The following is an 18,322-nucleotide window of genomic DNA, read 5'->3' as shown; positions in this document are numbered from 1 at the left end:
AGCAATTCTCCTGCCTCAGCCTCCCAAGTAGCTGGCATTACAGGTGGGCACCACCACACCTGGCTAATTTTGTATTTTTAGTAGAGACGAGGTTTCACCATGTTGGTCAGGCTAGTCTCGAACTCCTGACCTCAGGTGATCCACCTGCCTTGGCCTCCCAAAATGCTGGGATTACAGATGTGAGCCACTGCGCCTGGCTAGTGGAGAAACTTCTAAGAGTAGACTTAACTTATAAGAATGTCGGCCTGGGAGAAAAAGGAGGAAAGCTACAGATAACCTGACAAAATCCTTCACTTCATAATGAAGAACCAGAGGCTGAAGACAGCAAGTATTTGGCCTCAGAGAAGTTAGCTGGTTAGCATTTGAGCAGATCTCCTACGATTCATGCCACTGCTGAAGAAAACTAGATTTACCCATTTTAAAACATGCCTCCGCCTGCATGAGGCCATCGACCACATTCTCCAGGGCATTAACTGTTTCCAGCAAGGAGGAGGTAAAATACTCCTCCAGAACCCAGCAGTCTTTTTCTTCAGCAGAATCGTGTTCCCCGTGGAACTGTTGTAGGCAAAACAGAACTTTGACGCAGCCCAAAGCTCAATCGATTCATGATCAGTTAAACAAGGAGAAAGAAGGAAATCTCAGACCCGAGGAAACTCTAGGGAAAACACCTATGATACAACACTGGGGAAAACTAGCAGAAGTCATCATGACAATGTTTTTTTTTATTATTATTATTATTATTATTATTATTATTATTATTATTATTTGAAACGGGGTTTTGCTCTGTTGCCCAGGCTGGAATTCAGTGGCACAGTCTCAGCTCACTGCAACCTCCACCTCCTGAGTTCAAGTGATTCTCCTGCCTCAGCCTCCCAGGTAGCTGGGATTACAGACGCATGCCACCACACCAGGCTAATTTTTGTATGTTTAGTAGAGATGAAGTTTCACCATGTTGGCCAGGCTGGTCTCAAACTCCTGACCTCAAGTGATCCACCTGCCTCAGCCTCCCAAAGTGCTGGGATTACAGGTATGAGCCACTGTGCCCAGCCTATTCTTAAAATACATAAAATTAAAATATGAATTATAATAAAAAGCTGCTATTCAAGGTCAGGCCCAGTGGCTCATACTTGTAATCCCAGCACTTTGGGAGGCCAAGGCAGGCGGATCACGAGGTCAGGAGTTCGAGACCAATCTGGCCAACATGGTGAAACCCGTCTCTACTAAAGATACAAAAAATTAGCCAGGCATGGTGGCGTACGCCTGTAATCCCAGCTACTCAGGAGGCTGAGGCAGGAGAATTGCTTGAACCTGGGAGGCAGAGGTTGCAGTGAGCCAAGGTCGTGCCATTGCACGTTAGCCTGGGTGACAGGGCTAGACCCGGTCTCAAAAAAAAAAAAAAAAGCTGCTATTCAAATAAAACGTATTTTTAGCAAACAAATGTTTTATTGGCTAACGGGTTGAATTCCTCAATAATTATAAAGGAATCATTTTCTTTGACCAAATAACCCTTCCCACAGCCAAAACATTTGCTTTGAGGGAAGTTATATCAGCTTTATATTTTGCAAATATTTTCTGATTCTATGAGGTTTTGCCCCAGACTAAACGCAATCCTCTGAGTCATCTAATTTGTGTTAAAGGAGAATGTGCTGTGGTTGGCTGAATAAAAGACCCCAAAGATATCTAGGTCTTAATCCCTGGAACCTGTGAATGTTACCTTCCATAAGTGGACTTTGCAGATGTGATAAAGGTTTTTGTTGTTGTTGTTGTTTGACAAGAGTCTGGCTCTGTCACCAGGCTAGAGTGCGGTGGTGTGATCTCGGCTCACTACAACCTCCACCTCCTGGATTCAAGTGATTCTCCTGCCTCAGCCTCCTGAGTAGCTGGGACTACAGACATGTGCCACCAGACCCAGCTAATTTTTTTTGTATTTTTAGTAGAGATGGGGTTTCACCATGTTGCCCAGGCTGGTCCCGAACTCCTGGCCTCAAGTGATCTGCCTGCCTCAACCTCCCAAAGTCCTGGGATTACAGGCATGAGCCACTGAGCCCAGATGATTAAGGATGTTAATGGAAAGATGGAAAGAGTATTCTGGATTATCAGGGTGGGACTCAAATGTAATCAGAAGTGGCCTCATCGGACAGAAACAGATCAAGATTTGACTACAGAGGAGGAAGTAGATGTCACAATGGAAGCAAAGGTTGGAATGATTTGAGGAAGAGGTTTTAAGTCAAGGAGTGCACAAAGCCTCCAGTAGCCAAAAAAGGCAAGGAGGCGAACTCTCCCTTGAGAACCTCCAAAGGGAACCAGACCTGTGAACACCTTGACTTTAGCCCAGTGAGCCTGGTTCTGAACTTCTGGCCTTTGGAACTGTAAGAGAATCAGTGTGCTGTTTTAGGCCACCAAATTTGTGTTTATTTGATACAGAACAAAAGGAAAGTAATTCCGCTGGTAAATGCGATTAATTTCCACATGGTGAGCCCCAGTGTGTTTTCATTTAAAGATAAAAGAATGAAGACAAACTTTTGACAAGTCGAAAGCGTCAGAGTGGGTACAGAGCACAGGGCAAGCCCCTCCCCTCCAATTTGGCCCCAGAAGCCTCACTCAGAATCTGTTTGCACTCTATCCAGAATATATGCTTCTGGGGCCTAAAGAATTTTCACATTAATAAAATGAGCCTAGGGCCAGGCGAGGTGGCTCATGCCTGTAATCCTAGCATTTTGGGAGGCTGAAGCAGGTGGATCACTTGAAGCCAGGAGGTTGAGACCAGCCTGGCCAACATGGTAAAACCCCGTCTCTACTAAAAATACAAAAATTAGCCAGGTGTAGTGACGTGCGCCTATAGTCCCAGCTACTCGGAATGCTGAGGCATGAGAATCACTTGAACTCGGGAGACAGAGGTTGCAGTGAGCCGAGATGATGCCACTGCACTCCAGCTTGGGTGATAGAGTCAGACTCCGTCTCAAAAATTAAATAAATAAATGAGTTTAGAGTATAATAATGTTATTGATCAACAACAAATCTCATATGAGCAATTTCCAACAATTTTTATATACTCTTTTATTTATTGTTTTATTTATTTTTAATTGACAAGTAAAAATTGTATGTATTTATGGTGTATAACATGTTTTGCTATATGCATACATTGTGAAATGCCTAAATCAGCTATTAAACATATAACATTACCTAGCATACTTATCATTTTTGTGTTGAGGACACTTGAAATCTACTCAGCAATTTTCAAGTATACAATATATTGTGATTAACTCTTGTCACTATGATATGCAATAGACTGCGCGAATTTAGTCCTCCTGTCTAAATGAAATTTTGTGTTTACCTTTAACCAACATAGATAATCAGAAGCAAATAAAAAACATCAACAGAATCCAGCAATACCGATTCTTCTCATGGATGACCTTTTTTTTTCTTTCTGACGATGTCTCACTCTGTCACCCAGGCTGGAGTGCAGTGGCGAGATCTCGGCTCAGGTATAGACCCCAAGACCATCCTGCTGGGGGCAGGCAGGTAAAGCTGCAGTCCGGGAAGCCTAGAGGCCCTGCAGCTCCTGAAAAGGAGACTCTGGGGAAGGAGGCACGTCCCGTGCCCTACGATAAACTAAGGCCTGCTTGAGGGGAATCACACTGCCTTTAGCCTGCAACTGTATCTAGTGGCTTCCCGGCAGTAAGACGGTAACCTTGTCTGGGCCGCAGAATGCAGTTTTCAGCGCTCAGGAGCCTGGAGGGGTAAATGGGGGAGGGGAACCCTGGGAGGAACGGGATTCCATGGAGGGCAAGGGGTCTGCGGGAGACCCCCGGACATCTGCCCGGAGCGCCAGGGCTTGCTTCTGTAAAAGCACACTCCGTGAGCCAGGGCCTCCTCGTTTCCTGCCTCCTGGAGCTGGCGCCGCCAGAGGGGACCCAGGCAGCCGCGCCCCGAGCCCAGGATTCCCGTCCCATGGGGCCTGCCCTGTGCACCAAGGGGGTTTAGCAGCGTCCTCTAGCACCGCCACCCCGGCCGCTTGCTGTGACCAGCAAAACTGTCCGAGACACAGCTGGTTGTCTCCTGGGGGGCGGAATGGCCCCTGGTTGAGGATCCCGCTATAAGGCTCGGAACAGCCAAAGAGTGATTGGAACGATCTTTTTCCTGGTGTCTGTAGCCTGCTTCTCCCACTCTGTCCATTTCGCATCACGTTCATTCGCCAAGTGCTGACAGCTTTGCCTTCTAAATATTTCTTGAACCTGTGCTCTCCCCACTCCGTCACCGCTGGGGTCCTGGTGACTTGGGAACTTGCAGGCTCTTTCCTGGCGGCTCTGCATTGGTCTCCCTGGGCCTTGTCCCCCACATCCATTTTCCTCACAGTCACTAGGGACTTTATACAAACTGTAACTCTCCCCAGGTCACTGCCATGATTGACTGATTATGACTGATCGATATATATCTATATCTATATCTATATCTATATCTATCTATCTATATATATATATATATATATATATATATATATTATATATATATTAGACAGAGTCTCGCTCTGTTGCCCAGGCTGAAGTGCAGTGGCATGATCTCAGCTCACTGCAACCTCCGTCTCCCAGGTTCAAGTGATTCTTCTGCCTCAGCCTCCCGAGTAGCTAGGACTACAGGCGTGCGCCACCATGCCCAGCTAATTTTTGTATTTTTAGTAGAGACGGGGTTTCACTATGTTGGCCAGGCTGGTCTCGAATTCCTGACCTCAGGTGATCCGACCGCCTCAGCCTTCCAAAGTGCTGGGATTACAGGCACGAGCCACCACGCCCGGCCGACTGATCAATTTTCCATACAAGGTCTGGCCCTGTCTCCCAGGCTGGAGTGCAAGGCTCACTGCAACCTCAATCTCCTGGGCTCAAGCAATCCTCCCACCTCAGCCTCCTAAGTAGCTGGGACCACAGGCATGCTACCACACCCAGCTAATATGTGTGTGTGTGTGTGTGGTGTTTCATTTTTGTGGAGACGGGGGCGTCTCATTATGTTGCCTAGGCTGGTCTAGAACTCCTGGCCTCAAGCGATTCCCTTGCCTCATCCTCCCAAAGTGTTGGGATTGCAGGTGTCAGCCACCACGCCTGGCCGACTGCCGTGATTAAAAGCTCTTCAGTGGCTTTCCATCAGCCTCAGAATAAAGTCCAATCCCCTTACTAGGAGCTCTCCCGTCATCTGGTCCCAGCTGACCTCTCCACTCAATCTCCTAACACATCATTCTTTGCTCTTTAAAAAAAAAAAAGAAAAGAAATTCTTTTTATTTTTTACTCCTCTTGCTATCATTCCCAGTTGTCTCTTGCTCCTCATGCATGGAGCAGTAACTGCTGTTTTTGTGCCTTGGCGAGTGCTGCTGTCTCTCCCTGGAATGTCTTTCCTGATTTCTGCTTCAAGTTCACATCCTCCAGGGAGCCGGCTCCTGGCTGGCCTGGGCTCACCTCCATTGTTGCGTGTATCGCTTTTGACCACCAGGTGGTAGCACAAGGCAGTGTTTAAGCGCTCGGGCCCAGGAGCCCAGCTGCCTGACCCCAAATGCCAGCTCTGCCAAGGACTGAATGACCCTGGACAAAACACGGAATGCCTCTGTGCGCCTTGTTTTCTTTATCTACAAAATGGAAATAATTAACTGTCTACTTCATAAAGTTGCTATGTGGATTATATGAGCTAATATGTGAAAAGTTCTCAGAAAGTCTCCTGGTGAAAGATCAATACAAGCTACTTGTTATATTTTTTGTGTGTCAGTCTCTTCCAGAAGACTGATGAATACTTCATATTTTAAACATGAATAACAGAAATCTCACTTTAAAGCGGTCTCTTAACACTATCCTTGGGGTTTCACGTTTTCCAAGTTATTTGAGAAGTTTCCTGGCCATTTGTACTACCCCATCTGTGAATTACTTGTTCAAATCCTTTGCTTTTTAATTCCCCCAACAGAGAGGACTGTTGTAGAGCTCAGTTTTGATCACTGGTCTCTCCCTCTCCTCATAGTCTCAGGCCTCTCCTCTTCCTGTGACGGCGTGGACTGTGTTTCAGGACCATTGTTCTTTTCTACATTTGACTATTTAAGGTAAGCATATTGTCCTGCTACTTGAAGTAGATAAATCAGCAGCTATGTACTTTTTCCAGCCAATAAAAGAAATCACATATTAAGTAGGGAACAGATAAAGAATGATGTTATTACATGTGTATTGTTTAATTTTCTCCACTCAAATTCCAATTATAAAAGAAGAGGGAATTACTAAGATAACTCAAAACCATATGCTGCAGGTTTTGAGGTTACTTAATGACACAGAGACCTCCAGAGCCACATGATACTGGGGTAGTGCTTTCACTGACAACCACCACAAAAAAACAAATCTTTTCTTTAAGGGTAGTTTCTGGTAGAATCTACATGTCTATATGTTCAAGGATGCTCATTGCAGCATTGTTTACAATATCAAAAAATTAGACACAACATAAATGCCCATTATTGGTGACATAAATAAATTGTGGGAGCCAGGCACAATGGCATGCACCTGTAGCCCCAGCTACTTGAGATGCCCAGGCAGGAGGATCACTTGAGCCCAAGAGTTCGAGTCCAGTTTAGGCCATATATAGCAAGACCTCACCTTAAAAAATAATTGTGAGCTGGGTGCGGTGGCTCACTCCAGTAATCCCAGCACTTTGGGAGGCTGAGGCAGGCAGATCACTGGAGGTTAGGAGTTCGAGACCAGCCTGGTCAACATGGTGAAACCCTGTCTCTACTAAAAATACAAAAATTAGCTGGGTGTGGCGGCACATGCCTGTAATCCCAGCTACTCAGGAGGCTGAAGTAGGAGGATCACTTGAACCTGAGAGGCAGAGGTTGCAGTGAGCCAAGTGGTGCCACTGCACTCCAGCCCGGGTGATAGAGTGAGACTCCGTCTCAAAAAAAATAAAATAAATTACAGTAAACATTTAAAAATTTTTAAAAATATTGTGGTAAATCTATAAGATGGAACACTTTGCAAAAATTGCTAAAAGATACGTGTAGACAACAGAAATGACATGCAGTACTGTAATAATAAGTAAGAAAAGCAAGGCTGGGTGTGGTGGCTCACGCCTGTAATCCCAGAATTTTGGGAGGCCGAAGCGGGTAGATTGCCTGAGCTCAGGAGTTCGAGACCAGCCTGGGCAACACAGTGAAACCCTGTCTCTACTAAAATATAAAAAATTAGCCAGGGATGGTGGCATGCACCTGTAATCCCAGCTGCTCGGGAGGCTGAGGCAGAAGAATCACTTGAACCCAGGAGGCAGAGGTGGCAGTGAGCTGAGATCGCACCATTGCACTCCAGCCTGGGTGACAGAGCAAGACTCTGTCTCAAAAAAAAAAAAAAAAAAGAAAAGAAAGTTGCACAAAAAATATATAGCATATAGAACAAAAGTCTCAATTTGCAAATAGCAACTTACATTTGTACATGCTTAGGAAAAACCTGAAGGCATAGCCACCAAATGCAAAAGTGGTCACCTTTAGGTGATGAGATTCACTGTGACTGTCTGCTTTCTACTTTGTCCAGTTCCAGAGAATAAATTTCTCCATCACCATAATCTATTTGTGCAATATAAAATTAATATAAGTTTAGGCCAGGCATGGTGGCTCTCGCCTGTAATCCCAACACTTTGGGAAGCCGAGGCAGGTGGATCACCTGAGGTCAGGAGTTCAAGACCAGCCTGGCCAACATGGTGAAACCCCGTCTCTACTAAATATATAAAAATTAGGCAGATGTGGTGGCACGTGCCTATAACCCCAGCTACTCAGGAGGCTAAGGCAGGATAATTGCTTGAACCCAGGAGGTGGAGGTTGCAGTCTGCCGAGATCATCGTGCCACTGCACTCCAGCCTGAGCGACAGAGCAAGACTGTCTCAAAAATAATAATAATAATAATAATAATAATTAAAAGTCTAGACAGAGTGGCAGAGAGATGGGTGTGTGCAGTCTGTGTAAAACTGTGCTGTCTTGTGGTCTCAGTACAAAATCATAGTTTTATTCCTTGTTTCATGATTTTCTAGGAAAAAAAGAAAAAAGAAACAAAATCAGTTAACCAAGAAAACAATAATGAGCAATAGGAATCTTCACTGCACTCTCTTAGCAAAGTTCAAAATGGGCAGCAAATTGTAGGAGCCAGAGAAAAGCACTATCAACATACTCATCCCTTGGTCTCACTGTGCCTCCCCGTCAGAGCATGGCAGAGGTCCTCATCTCTCCCAGGGCTCCCAAAACTCCCCCCAAATTCCCAAAGAACTCAGTCTTGGCTTTCTTCTCTTAGGATCCCACCTTCCCCACCCCACCCCCACCCCCGCCAATCTAATCCTTCCTTGATCTTCCAATATAAATTGAATTTTTTTTTTTTTTTTGAGACGGAGTCTTGCTCTGTCACCCAGGCTGGAGTGCAATGGCGTGGTCTCAGCTCACTGCAACCTCCGTCCCCCAGGTTCAAGGGATTCTCCTGCCTTAGCCTCCTGAGTAGCTGGGATTACAGACGCCCGCCACCACGCCCGGCTAACTTTTATATTTTTAGTAGAGACGAGGTTTCACCATGTTGGCCAGACTTGTCTCGAACTGACCAGGTGATCCACCCACCTTGGACTCCCAGTGTGCTGGGATTATAGGCATGAGCCACTGCACCTGGCCTAAATTGATTTTTTCTTTCTGGGCTTCCTTCAGTCCTCCACTCTGAGAGCTGATAGGTAAACCCAAAAACTATGGGGTGGAGGGGAGGATATGCATATTTTTGTGTGAATATCATTTATTTACATAACATGTGCTATATCTTATATAAGACACTATATAGTCTATGGCCATAGTACTCTGAACATGCCCGATTTCATCTGTTTGAGGAAGCTAAGCAAGGTCGGGCCTGGTTAGTACTCAGACAGAAGGTACTGTATACCCACATGTACGTGCCAGGAGAATGATCCCCATTCAGTAGTTTTCCTTAGACATAAGCAAGATGTAGCTGGGCCCGATGGCTCACGCCTGTAATCCCAGAACTTTGGGAGGCCAAGGAGGGTAGATGGATGGATCATCTGAGGTCAAGAGTTCGAGACCAGCCTGGCCAACATGGTGAAACCCATCTCTACTAAAAATACAAAAAATTAGCTGAGCATGGTCGTGGGTGCCTATAATCCCAGCTACTTGAGAGGCTGAGGCAGGAGAATTGCTTTAACCCAGGAGGCGGAGGTTGCAGTGAGCCAAGATTGTGCCACTGCACTCCAGCCTGGGCAACAGAGCGAGACTCTGTGTCAAGAAAGAAAGAGAGAAAGAAAGAAGGAAAGAAAGAAAGAAGGAAGGAAAGAAAGAAAGAAAGAGAGAGAGAGACAGAGAAAGAGAGAGAGAGAAAGAAAGAAAGAGAGAGAGAGAAGGAAGGAAGGAAGGAAGGAAAGAAAGAAAGAAAGAAAGAAAGAAAAGAAAGAAAGAAAGAAAGAAAGAGAAAGAAAGAAGGAAAGAAAGAAGTAAGTGAGATGCAAAAGGCTAAGTGCAAGACAAGAAAACAAGGGACTTTCTGTGTTATTTGTTAATGTTTGACTTAAGATACAAACACACACATACGCACATTTCCACGAAATACCATGTGCTTCTTCAAAGACAGAGCAGTAGCTATCAACCGTGTTAATCATTGAAGAAGCCATTATTCTCCCTATAAAAATAGAGTCTGGAGATGTAGCAATAAAGTTGTAATTATAGCCAGTTGTTAAACTTTTACCCTTTAGTCTGGGGAAATGGCTATAAAGTTGTATTTATAGCTAATTATTGAACTTTGCCTTTTCCTGGATCTGGCATACTTCACTCTCTTGTGCTATGTGCAAGAGTCAGCACAGAAATGTTGGATGATTACCTAGTGGGCCCTGAAACCTGATTTTGCATAATTATTACTCAAGTGGATTGGTATTCTTCATGCTATCCATGCAGCCAGCTTTCTTCTCTAGACCAAAACTTGTGCAGAACATCACAAAAATGCTCCAGCCCCAACTAGGAACTGTGCCTGACATTCCTTCAAAGGCAAACAGTTCCCAGTTGAGAGTAAAATGTTAAATGAAAATGTGTCTGGCACCTGTCCTCTTTAGTACATTTACACAGCTTTTAATAACTGACTTCTGCTATCAAGACTTTTCCTGGAGTGGCTTTTGAAAAAGAAAAGGAACACACGAGCCAGTGAACCCAGAGGAAGAGCCTTCCCCCACGCACCACCCTAAGCCGCAGAACAAGGACAATGGCAAGGACATCAAGGACACCTTGATCTTCTTCATCAACTGCTTCAGGCTCACCCAGCAAGGCCCCTTTTTTGGACTCTCGCTAACTCATAAAATAGCATCATGAGGTTGCACTGCATCCACGTGGAGATGTCAACTACACACATGGAGAGGTCAGCATCCCACGTGCTGAAAGCTGGCCTGGGGGTAGCAGAAAGTGTATTCCAGGCTGAGAAACAAACCATCTAACCAGCAGAGATGGTGGATGAAAGTGTGTGGGTTAATGTAAACATGGCTCGAATGAAGGGGAATGTTAGACACTGAGTTTAGAAAAAGAGCTGGCATAAGATTTGGGAAGCCCTTGAAGGCCACACCAGGGCCTCAGTATCTGCGTGTTTGGGAACTAGGACTGCTGATCCAATTTCTGCAAACATTAGGTCACTCTTGTTTTGTTTTTCTTTCTACTAATTTGTAACTGATTAGCATAGGCTAGTCCCAGCCCTGGGGATATAGTGCTAAACCAGACAGATTTCCATGATATTTGCACCAAATATGGAGGAAAACAGATCATAAATGGCAAATATATATAATGTCAATGTGCAAGGAATACAATGATGACAGTAATGGGGCAGAGGGCTCCGTGAGACCTGACAGAGGGATAAGGAGCCAGAAGTGCAAAATAGGGGTAAAGTGCACTCTAAACTGATGAAACAGTAGGTGCAAAGGCCCTGAGGCAAGGAAGATTGAGAAGAGATGAGCTGCAGTCCAGCGCAGAGGGGTGCACTGAAAGCTGGTAGTTGAGGACTAGATTACGTCAGAGTTTGTAGGCTGTGGTAAAGAGAAGCACAGAGCTGGGCACGGTAGCTCACGTCCGTAATCCCAGCACTTTGGGAGGCCGAGGCGGGTGGATCACTTGAGGTCAGGAGTTCGAGACCAGCCTGGCCAACATGGTGAAACCCTGTCTCTACTAAAAATACAAAAATTAGCCGGGCATGGTGGTGGGCCCCTATAGTCCCAGCTACTAGGGAGACTGAGACAGGAGAATCACTTGAACCTGGGAGGCGGAGCTTGCAGTGAGCTGAGATCCTGCCACGGCACTTCAGCCTGGGTGACAGAATGAGACTTTGTCTCGAAAAAAAAAAAAAAAAAATAGTCCAGGTGTGGTGGCTCATGCCTGTAATCCCAGCACTTTTTTGGGAGGCCAAGGCAGGCAGATCATTTGAGGTCAGGGGTTCAAGACCAGCCTGACCAACATGGTGAAATCCTGTCTCTACTAAAAACACAAAAATTGTAGGACGAGGTGGCCGAGTGGTTAAGATGATAGACTGCTAAAAATACAAAAATTAGCCTGGCATGGTGGCGGGTGCCTGTAATCCCAGCTACTTGGGAGCCTGAGGCAGGAGAATCGCTTGAACTTGGCAGGCAGAGATTGCAGTGAACCGAGACTGCACCACTGCACTCCAGCCTGGGCAATAGAGCGAGACTCAGTCTCAAAAAGAGAGAGAGAGAGAGAAGCACAGAAGCCTTCAAATGACGATGAATTCCAGAGGAGAAATGCTGATATCCATATGAAAACCATTGCCTCACTCCTCGTGTCACAGTTAAAGAGGCATGGAACAAGAGCAGGGTGAAAATGCACCCAGCAAAGCTGATGGGTGGGGTACCCGGCTGGGACCTTACAATGGCTGTACCTAGGGAGAGCTGCATCCGTCTGAGGTCCGTGTAGGAATTCAGCGGGGTTAGAAAGAAGCCCAGAGGCATTCAGGCCTGAAACAGTGACTCAGGCTACCAAGCCCAGACAAGGCAGTTAGGCCAGAAGTTGTTATGCGTGCGTCTAATTGAAGAGACACCCTGAACAGGCTAAGTGTGAGCAACAAGGCTGTCTATTCACTCGGGTGCGAGCAGGCTGAGTCCAGAAAGAGAAGCAGCGGAGGGGTGGTGGGATTGGAGTTAGTTTTACAGGTAAGGGTTAAGTAGTGGAAAGTTACAGTTAGGAGTTTTTTCGGGAAGGGGAAGAATGTCACAAGGTGCATAGTCATGAGGTGGGGGGACGTCACAAGGCACAATATCACAAGGTTGATTGATTAGTTAGGGTAGGGCGGGAACATAACACAATGGTGGAATTTTGCAAGGTTGGTTATCAGTTAAGGCAGGAAGTAGCTGTTTCTCCTTCTTTAGTGGTTCTGCTATTGATCCAGGCTTTGTGACTCCAGGAAGCCTGTACGTGTGGGTCACAGGGGTCACAATGGCTCTACTGTGGTGAAGCCTGTTCAGAGGACCTTACAGAAGGGATCTTTTTTTTTTTTTTTTTTTGAGACAGAGTTTTTGCTCTTGTTGCCCAGGCTGGAGTGCAATGGCGCAGTCTCAGCTCACTGCAACCTCCGCCTCCTGGATTCAAGCAATTCTCATGCCTCAGCCTCCCAAGTAGCTGGGATTACAGGTGCCCGGCACCACGACTGGCTAATTTTTGTATTTTTAGTAGAGATGGGGTTTCACCATGTTGGCCAGGATGGTCTCGAACTCCTGACCTCAGGTGATCCACCCGCCTCGACCTCCCAAATTGCTGGGATTATAGGCGTGAGCCACCACACCCGCCCATTTTTTTTTTTCTTTAAACTAACTCCCAAAGCAAGCCAACTCTTAAATCCTCTGACAAGGGTATCCTCTTAAAAGCAATTACTTAATTATTTAGTTAATTAAAATAAACTCTACTTACTGAAAGATCTAACAATTATGAAAGCTTTCCCTGGCTGGGTGCAGTGGCTCACACCTGTAAACCCAGCACTTTGGGAGGCCGAGGCAGGCAGATCACCTGAGTTTAGGAGTTCAAGACCAGCCTGGCCAACATGGTAAAACCCCGTTTCTACTAAAAATACAGAAATTAGCCAGACGTGGTGGCAGGCACCTGTAATCCCAGCTACTCGGGAGGCTAAGGAAAGAGAATCACTTGAACCCAGGAGGCAGAGGTTGCAGTGAGCCAAGATCACACCATTGCACGCCAGCCTGGGGGACAAGAGTGAGATTTCATCTCAAAAAAAAAAAAAAAGAAAGTGTTCCTTGGTCAGCACTGGATTAGAAGAAATAGAATTTGAACAACCTTAACGTCTACGGGGATTGAGCCAGATGGGTTCAGATTTATTGCAGAGACGAACCTGGCAAAAAGACCAGAGTCGAGGCCACCTGTGGATGTGATGGGATCCTGCCACTTGTCACCCCTCAAAACTCTGCTCTCGGCCAATGCCAGGAAGGCCATCCCTCCCATTAATTAGCACATAGTAGGCATGGCGCGGTGGCTCACGCCTGTAATCCCAGCACTTTGGGGGGCCGAGGCAGGCGGATCACGAGGTCAGGAGAAACCCTGTCTCTAATAAAAATACAAAAAATTAGCCGGGCGAGGTGGCGGGCGCCTGTAGTCCCATCTACTCGGGAGGCTGAGGCAGGAGAATGGCGTGAACCTGGGAGGTGGAGCTTGCAGTGAGCCAAGATCGCGCCACTGCACTCCAGCCTGGGCGACAAAGCAAGACTCTGTCTAAAAATAAATAAATAAATAAAAAATCAGCACATGGTAATCACAGGAGTGTTCAACAGTACTAGCACCCCATGCACAGAGTACGTCCCCTGGGCCTGGGCCAGGCACCTCTCAAAGCTCTCTGCAAGGGACATACACAATTTTCTCTCCAGAACAACGTTGTTGGAAGATATTACTGTCCCCATTTTACAGATGAGCAAAGTAACACAGAGGTTCGTTATCTCTGCTTAATACATATGAACAAGCAATTGCCAGAAAAAGGAGCAGTGATGAGGAATTTACATGAGGAAATGAGCCTGGGATCCCTGACACTCAAGGAAGTGCCTCATGCTCCTTCCAGATTGGCAAGAGAAATACCCAGTGTTAACAAGAGTGAGAAATGGGCAATTCAGATGCCATTAGCACGAGTTCAAATTGTAGCAACTTAGGTGAGCCTATCAGAATTTAAATTTCAACCTGAGACATCCATTTTTAGCATCTACCATAGAGAAATATTCAGGAATCTAAAGCAGAAATTCTTTAACTTCATTCCTTCTTGACCTGGTCCTCTTAGCTCTCAGACCTCATCTCTTGCCATTTGCTACCCTGTCTCTACTAAAGCACCTCTCTGCTTCTTATAGAAGGCAGTGTCATAAAACGCATGGTTGGGGTTTGTCCCTTGTTTCTGGCACAGAACTCATAAGACCTTTAAAATTTGCTGAGTGACAGAAGCGTCTTTTGTGCCTGGGCGAGATGGCTCACGCTTGTAATCCCAGCACTTTGGGAGGCCAAGGCAGGCGAATCTCAAAGAAAAAAGTGTCTTTTGTTATTTGTAAGAGGCCCCTTTCAATCCTACCTGCGTTTATGCTAATAAGGTTACTTAGGGAAGAACCCCTAGATGGCCTCAGGATGGGGCTGGCCACCAGCAAGACTAAGTGATTAGATGGTGGGAACTTTTTTTTTTTTGAGACAGAGTCTTGCTCTGTCGCCCAGGCTGCAGTGTAGTGGTGCAGCTTGCTGCAACCTCCACCTCCCAGGTTCCAGTGATTCTCCTGCCTCAGCCTCCTGGGTAGCTGGGATTACAGGCATGCACAACCATGCCTGGCTAATTTTTGTATTTTTAGTAGAGACAAGGTTTCACCATGTTGGCCCGGCTGGTCTTGAACTCCTAACCTCACGTGATCTGCCCTCCTCAGCCTCCCAAAATGCTGGGATTACAGGTGTGAGCCACCACGCCCAGCCACCGTATCTTATGTAAAGTGCTGATTTACTGAGGACAAGACGAATGCGTAATTGACTATTTCCTTACCTACTCCTTTTCTCTTGCAACATGTGGATTACCGTACCCTCCCTATTTCCCCTCCAGCTCACTTTTCCCCTTTAAATATTGGAGCTCTCAAATGTATCGTTGGAGAAAGGCACAAGCCACAGGCTGCTTCTGTGATTCCATGTTTTTTTCTTCCGGGCATGTCCTTAATCTTGGCAAAATAAACTTCTAAACTGATTGAGGTCCGTATCAGATACCTTTTAGTTAACACTACAAAACACAAGACAGTCTCCTACAACAAAGAATTATCCAGCCCACAAAGTCAGTAGAGCCAAGACTGAGAAACCCTGACATAAAAAGAGAGAGCTGGCTGGGCACAATGGCTCACGCCTGTAATCCCAATACTTTGAGAGGCCGAGGCAGGAGGATCACTTGAGGTCAGAAGTTGGAGACCAGTCTGGACAACATGATGAAACCCTCTCTCTACTAAAAATAGAGAAATTAGCTGGGTGTGGTGGCGGAGGCAGGAGGATCACTTGAGGTCAGAAGTCAGAGACCAGTCTGGACAACATGATGAAACCCTGTCTCTACTAAAAAGAGAAAAATTAGCTGGGTGTGGTGGCAGGCGCCTGTAATACCAGCTACTTGGGAGGCTGAGGCATGAGAATCACCTGGGAGGCAGAGGTTGCAGTGAGCTGAGATTGTGCCACTGCACTCCAGCCTGGGCAACAGAGCAAGACTCTCAAAAAATGAACAAAGCGTAAGGTAGATCTACACAAACTGGCCTGGAAAGAGCTCTAAAGCAAAATGCTAATTGAAAAATAATCAACTTTCTGAAAAATAACTACATCTTGATTCCGCTGCTATATTGAAAAAAAAAAAAGCCCGCTAAGTTATGTTTCTAAACGTGCAAGTATCTATATGTGCAGGAGTTTTTGTCCCTGGGTAGTTGGAGCATTCACCAACCCAGAAGCTCTCAGAATCTTTTTGTTCAAAAGGTGGATAGAGCTCCATCTCCAGCCCTGGTCCACTCCCTGGAGGTCAGAGGGCAGAGCTGAAAGTGCCCACTCTCTAATCACTTAGTCTTGCTGGTGGCCAGCCCCATCCTGTCATGACTGTGACTATAGGAGCAGAAATGAGATTAGTGGTGAGATGAAGACACATCTTGCTTTACATTCCATATACTTTTTTATTTTTTGAATTTGCCATGCTTGTATCCATATATTACCTGTGTCATTAAAAAAAGTTTGGGCCTGGTGCAGTGGCTCACGCCTGTAATCCCAGTACTTTGGGAGGCCAAGGCGGGTGGATCACTTGAGATCAGGAGTTCTAGACCAGCTTGACCAACATGGTGAAACCCCATCTCTACTAAAAATACAAAATTAACCTGGCATGGTGGCACATGCCTATAATCCCAGCTACTTGGGAAGTGGAAGCAGGAGAATTGCTTGAACCTGGGAGGCAGAGGTTGCAGTGAGCCGAGATCGTGCCATTGCACTCCAGCCTAGGCAATAAGAGTGAAACTCTGTCTCAAAAAAAAAAAAAGTTTGTCTTAGGTAACAACAGATCATTTTAATCAGTTCTTCAAAATCAACACTAATTTTAAATTCTTTAGTTTAAATTAATCGCAGTCATTCCTCCCTAAGGTGATAGTCACAACTGATTCAGATTTGAGTGGGGGAGGGGTGGGGGCGGGGTTCCTGAAACTCCTTAATCATACGTTTCCAAGCAGTTTCTTGGGTTGGGTTATTTCTGCATGAACCAATGTCATTATGACTTTTTCCCTGGAAAAAAAGAAATAGTACAAAATTTTAAATGTACAAAAAGGTCAAAGAGTGAAAAGTAAACTTTCCTCCACCCCTCACCCCATCCTTCAGCCACCAATTCCCCTCCCTTACCATTGTCTTGAGTATCTTTTTTTTTAATTGAATAGAGATGGGATCTTACTATGCTGCCCAGGTTGGTCTCAAAATCCTGGCCTCGAGCAATCTTCCAGCCCCAGCATCCCAAAGTCCTGGAATTACAGGTGTGAGCCACTGCGCGCCCTGCCTTGAGTATCTTTTTAAAGATATTCTGGCTGGGTGCGGTGGCTCACACCTGGAATCCCAGCACTTTGGGAGGCCGAGGCAGGAGAATCCCCTGAGATCAGGAGTTCAAGACCAGCCTGGCCAACATGATGAAACCCCGTCTCTACTAAAAATACCAAAAATTGGCCGGGCGTAGTGGCGGGCACCTGTAATCCCAGCTACTCAGGAGGCTGAGACGGGAGAATCGCTTGAACCCAGGAGGCAGAGGTTACAGTGAGCCAAGATCATGCCATTGCACTCCAGCCTGGGCAACAAGAGCAAAACTCCGTCTCAAAAAAAAAAAAAAAGAAAGAAAGAAAGAAAGAAAAGAAAAGAAAAAGATATTCTATGCACATACAGACCCCTGTGACAGCTGAGTATACCATTCTACTTCTTACCTTGATTTCCTCATCAATATGACCTAAAAATAATACATAGGCAGCTGCCTCCTTCTCATTTGTTACTATAATTTATTTCTTTTCACACGTGTGCCAAACTTAACTAAGTCTTCCTTTGTTGGGTCATTACGTTGTTTCAAACATTTTTCTTCTACAAACAATACAACAAATATTCTTGCTCACAGGTATTGTCCCCATGTAGGAGTAGATATGGGATGTATATATAATATGCCAACTCTTCCTACTTTTATTCTTAGAGATTAATTCGTCTGGGGCTCCCCTAATTCTATGTGTTTTGTTCAAAGTACTCCACCTTTGTGGATTTACAATAATGAGATGTGTTATGGACTGAAGTGTGAACCCTGCCTCCCACCAAAATTCATATGTTGAAGCTCTAACCCCTAATGTGACTATATTTGGAGATGGGGCCTCTTAGGATGTAATTAAATTCAATGAGGCCCTTAAGGTGGGACCCTAATTCAGTATGGCCAGTGTTCCCATGAGAAGAAAAAGGCAGGCCGGAAGCAGTGGCTCACGCCTGTAATCCCAGCACTTTGGGAGACCGAGGTGGGCAGATCAGGAGGTCAGGAGTTCGAGACCAGCCTGGCCAACATGGTGAAACCCTGTCTTTACTAAAAATACAAAAATTAGCTGGGTGTGGTGGCGGGCACCTGTAATCCCAGCTACTCAGGAGGCTGAGGCAGAAGAATCGTTTGAACCTGGGAGGCGGAGGTTGCATTGAGCTGAGATCATGCCATTGCACTCCATCCTGGGTGACAGGGCAAGACTCTGTCTCAAAAAAGAAAGAAAAGAAGAAAGAAAGAAAAGAAAGAAAGAAAGAAAAAGAAAGAGAGAAAGAAAGAAAGGA

The 18,322-nt window shown here is 45.7% G+C and overlaps 1 pseudogene, besides 2 other annotated features; it reads left to right on the top strand.

Moving 5' to 3' along the window:
• Positions 5,559-5,608: an enhancer, noted in NCBI's record as "active region_17203". NCBI's record gives its function as "activates an Ori minimal core promoter by ATAC-STARR-seq in GM12878 lymphoblastoid cells {active_cell/tissue: GM12878}" and the evidence as "EXISTENCE:reporter gene assay evidence [ECO:0000049][PMID:35858748]".
• RNA5SP121 (RNA, 5S ribosomal pseudogene 121) lies at positions 8,816-8,916 on the top strand (annotated as a pseudogene).
• Positions 14,303-15,176: an enhancer, noted in NCBI's record as "OCT4-NANOG-H3K27ac hESC enhancer chr2:228621508-228622381 (GRCh37/hg19 assembly coordinates)". NCBI's record gives its function as "activates a minimal SCP1, AML or CMV promoter by ChIP-STARR-seq in naive H9 embryonic stem cells {active_cell/tissue: H9 hESC(naive)}" and the evidence as "EXISTENCE:reporter gene assay evidence [ECO:0000049][PMID:30033119]".

This window comes from Homo sapiens, chromosome 2 (assembly GCF_000001405.40).
Source record: "Homo sapiens chromosome 2, GRCh38.p14 Primary Assembly".
Lineage (NCBI taxonomy): Eukaryota > Metazoa > Chordata > Mammalia > Primates > Hominidae > Homo > Homo sapiens.
The sequence above is the reverse complement of the archived record's forward strand: the minus strand, read 5'-3'. Positions and strand labels throughout refer to the sequence as shown.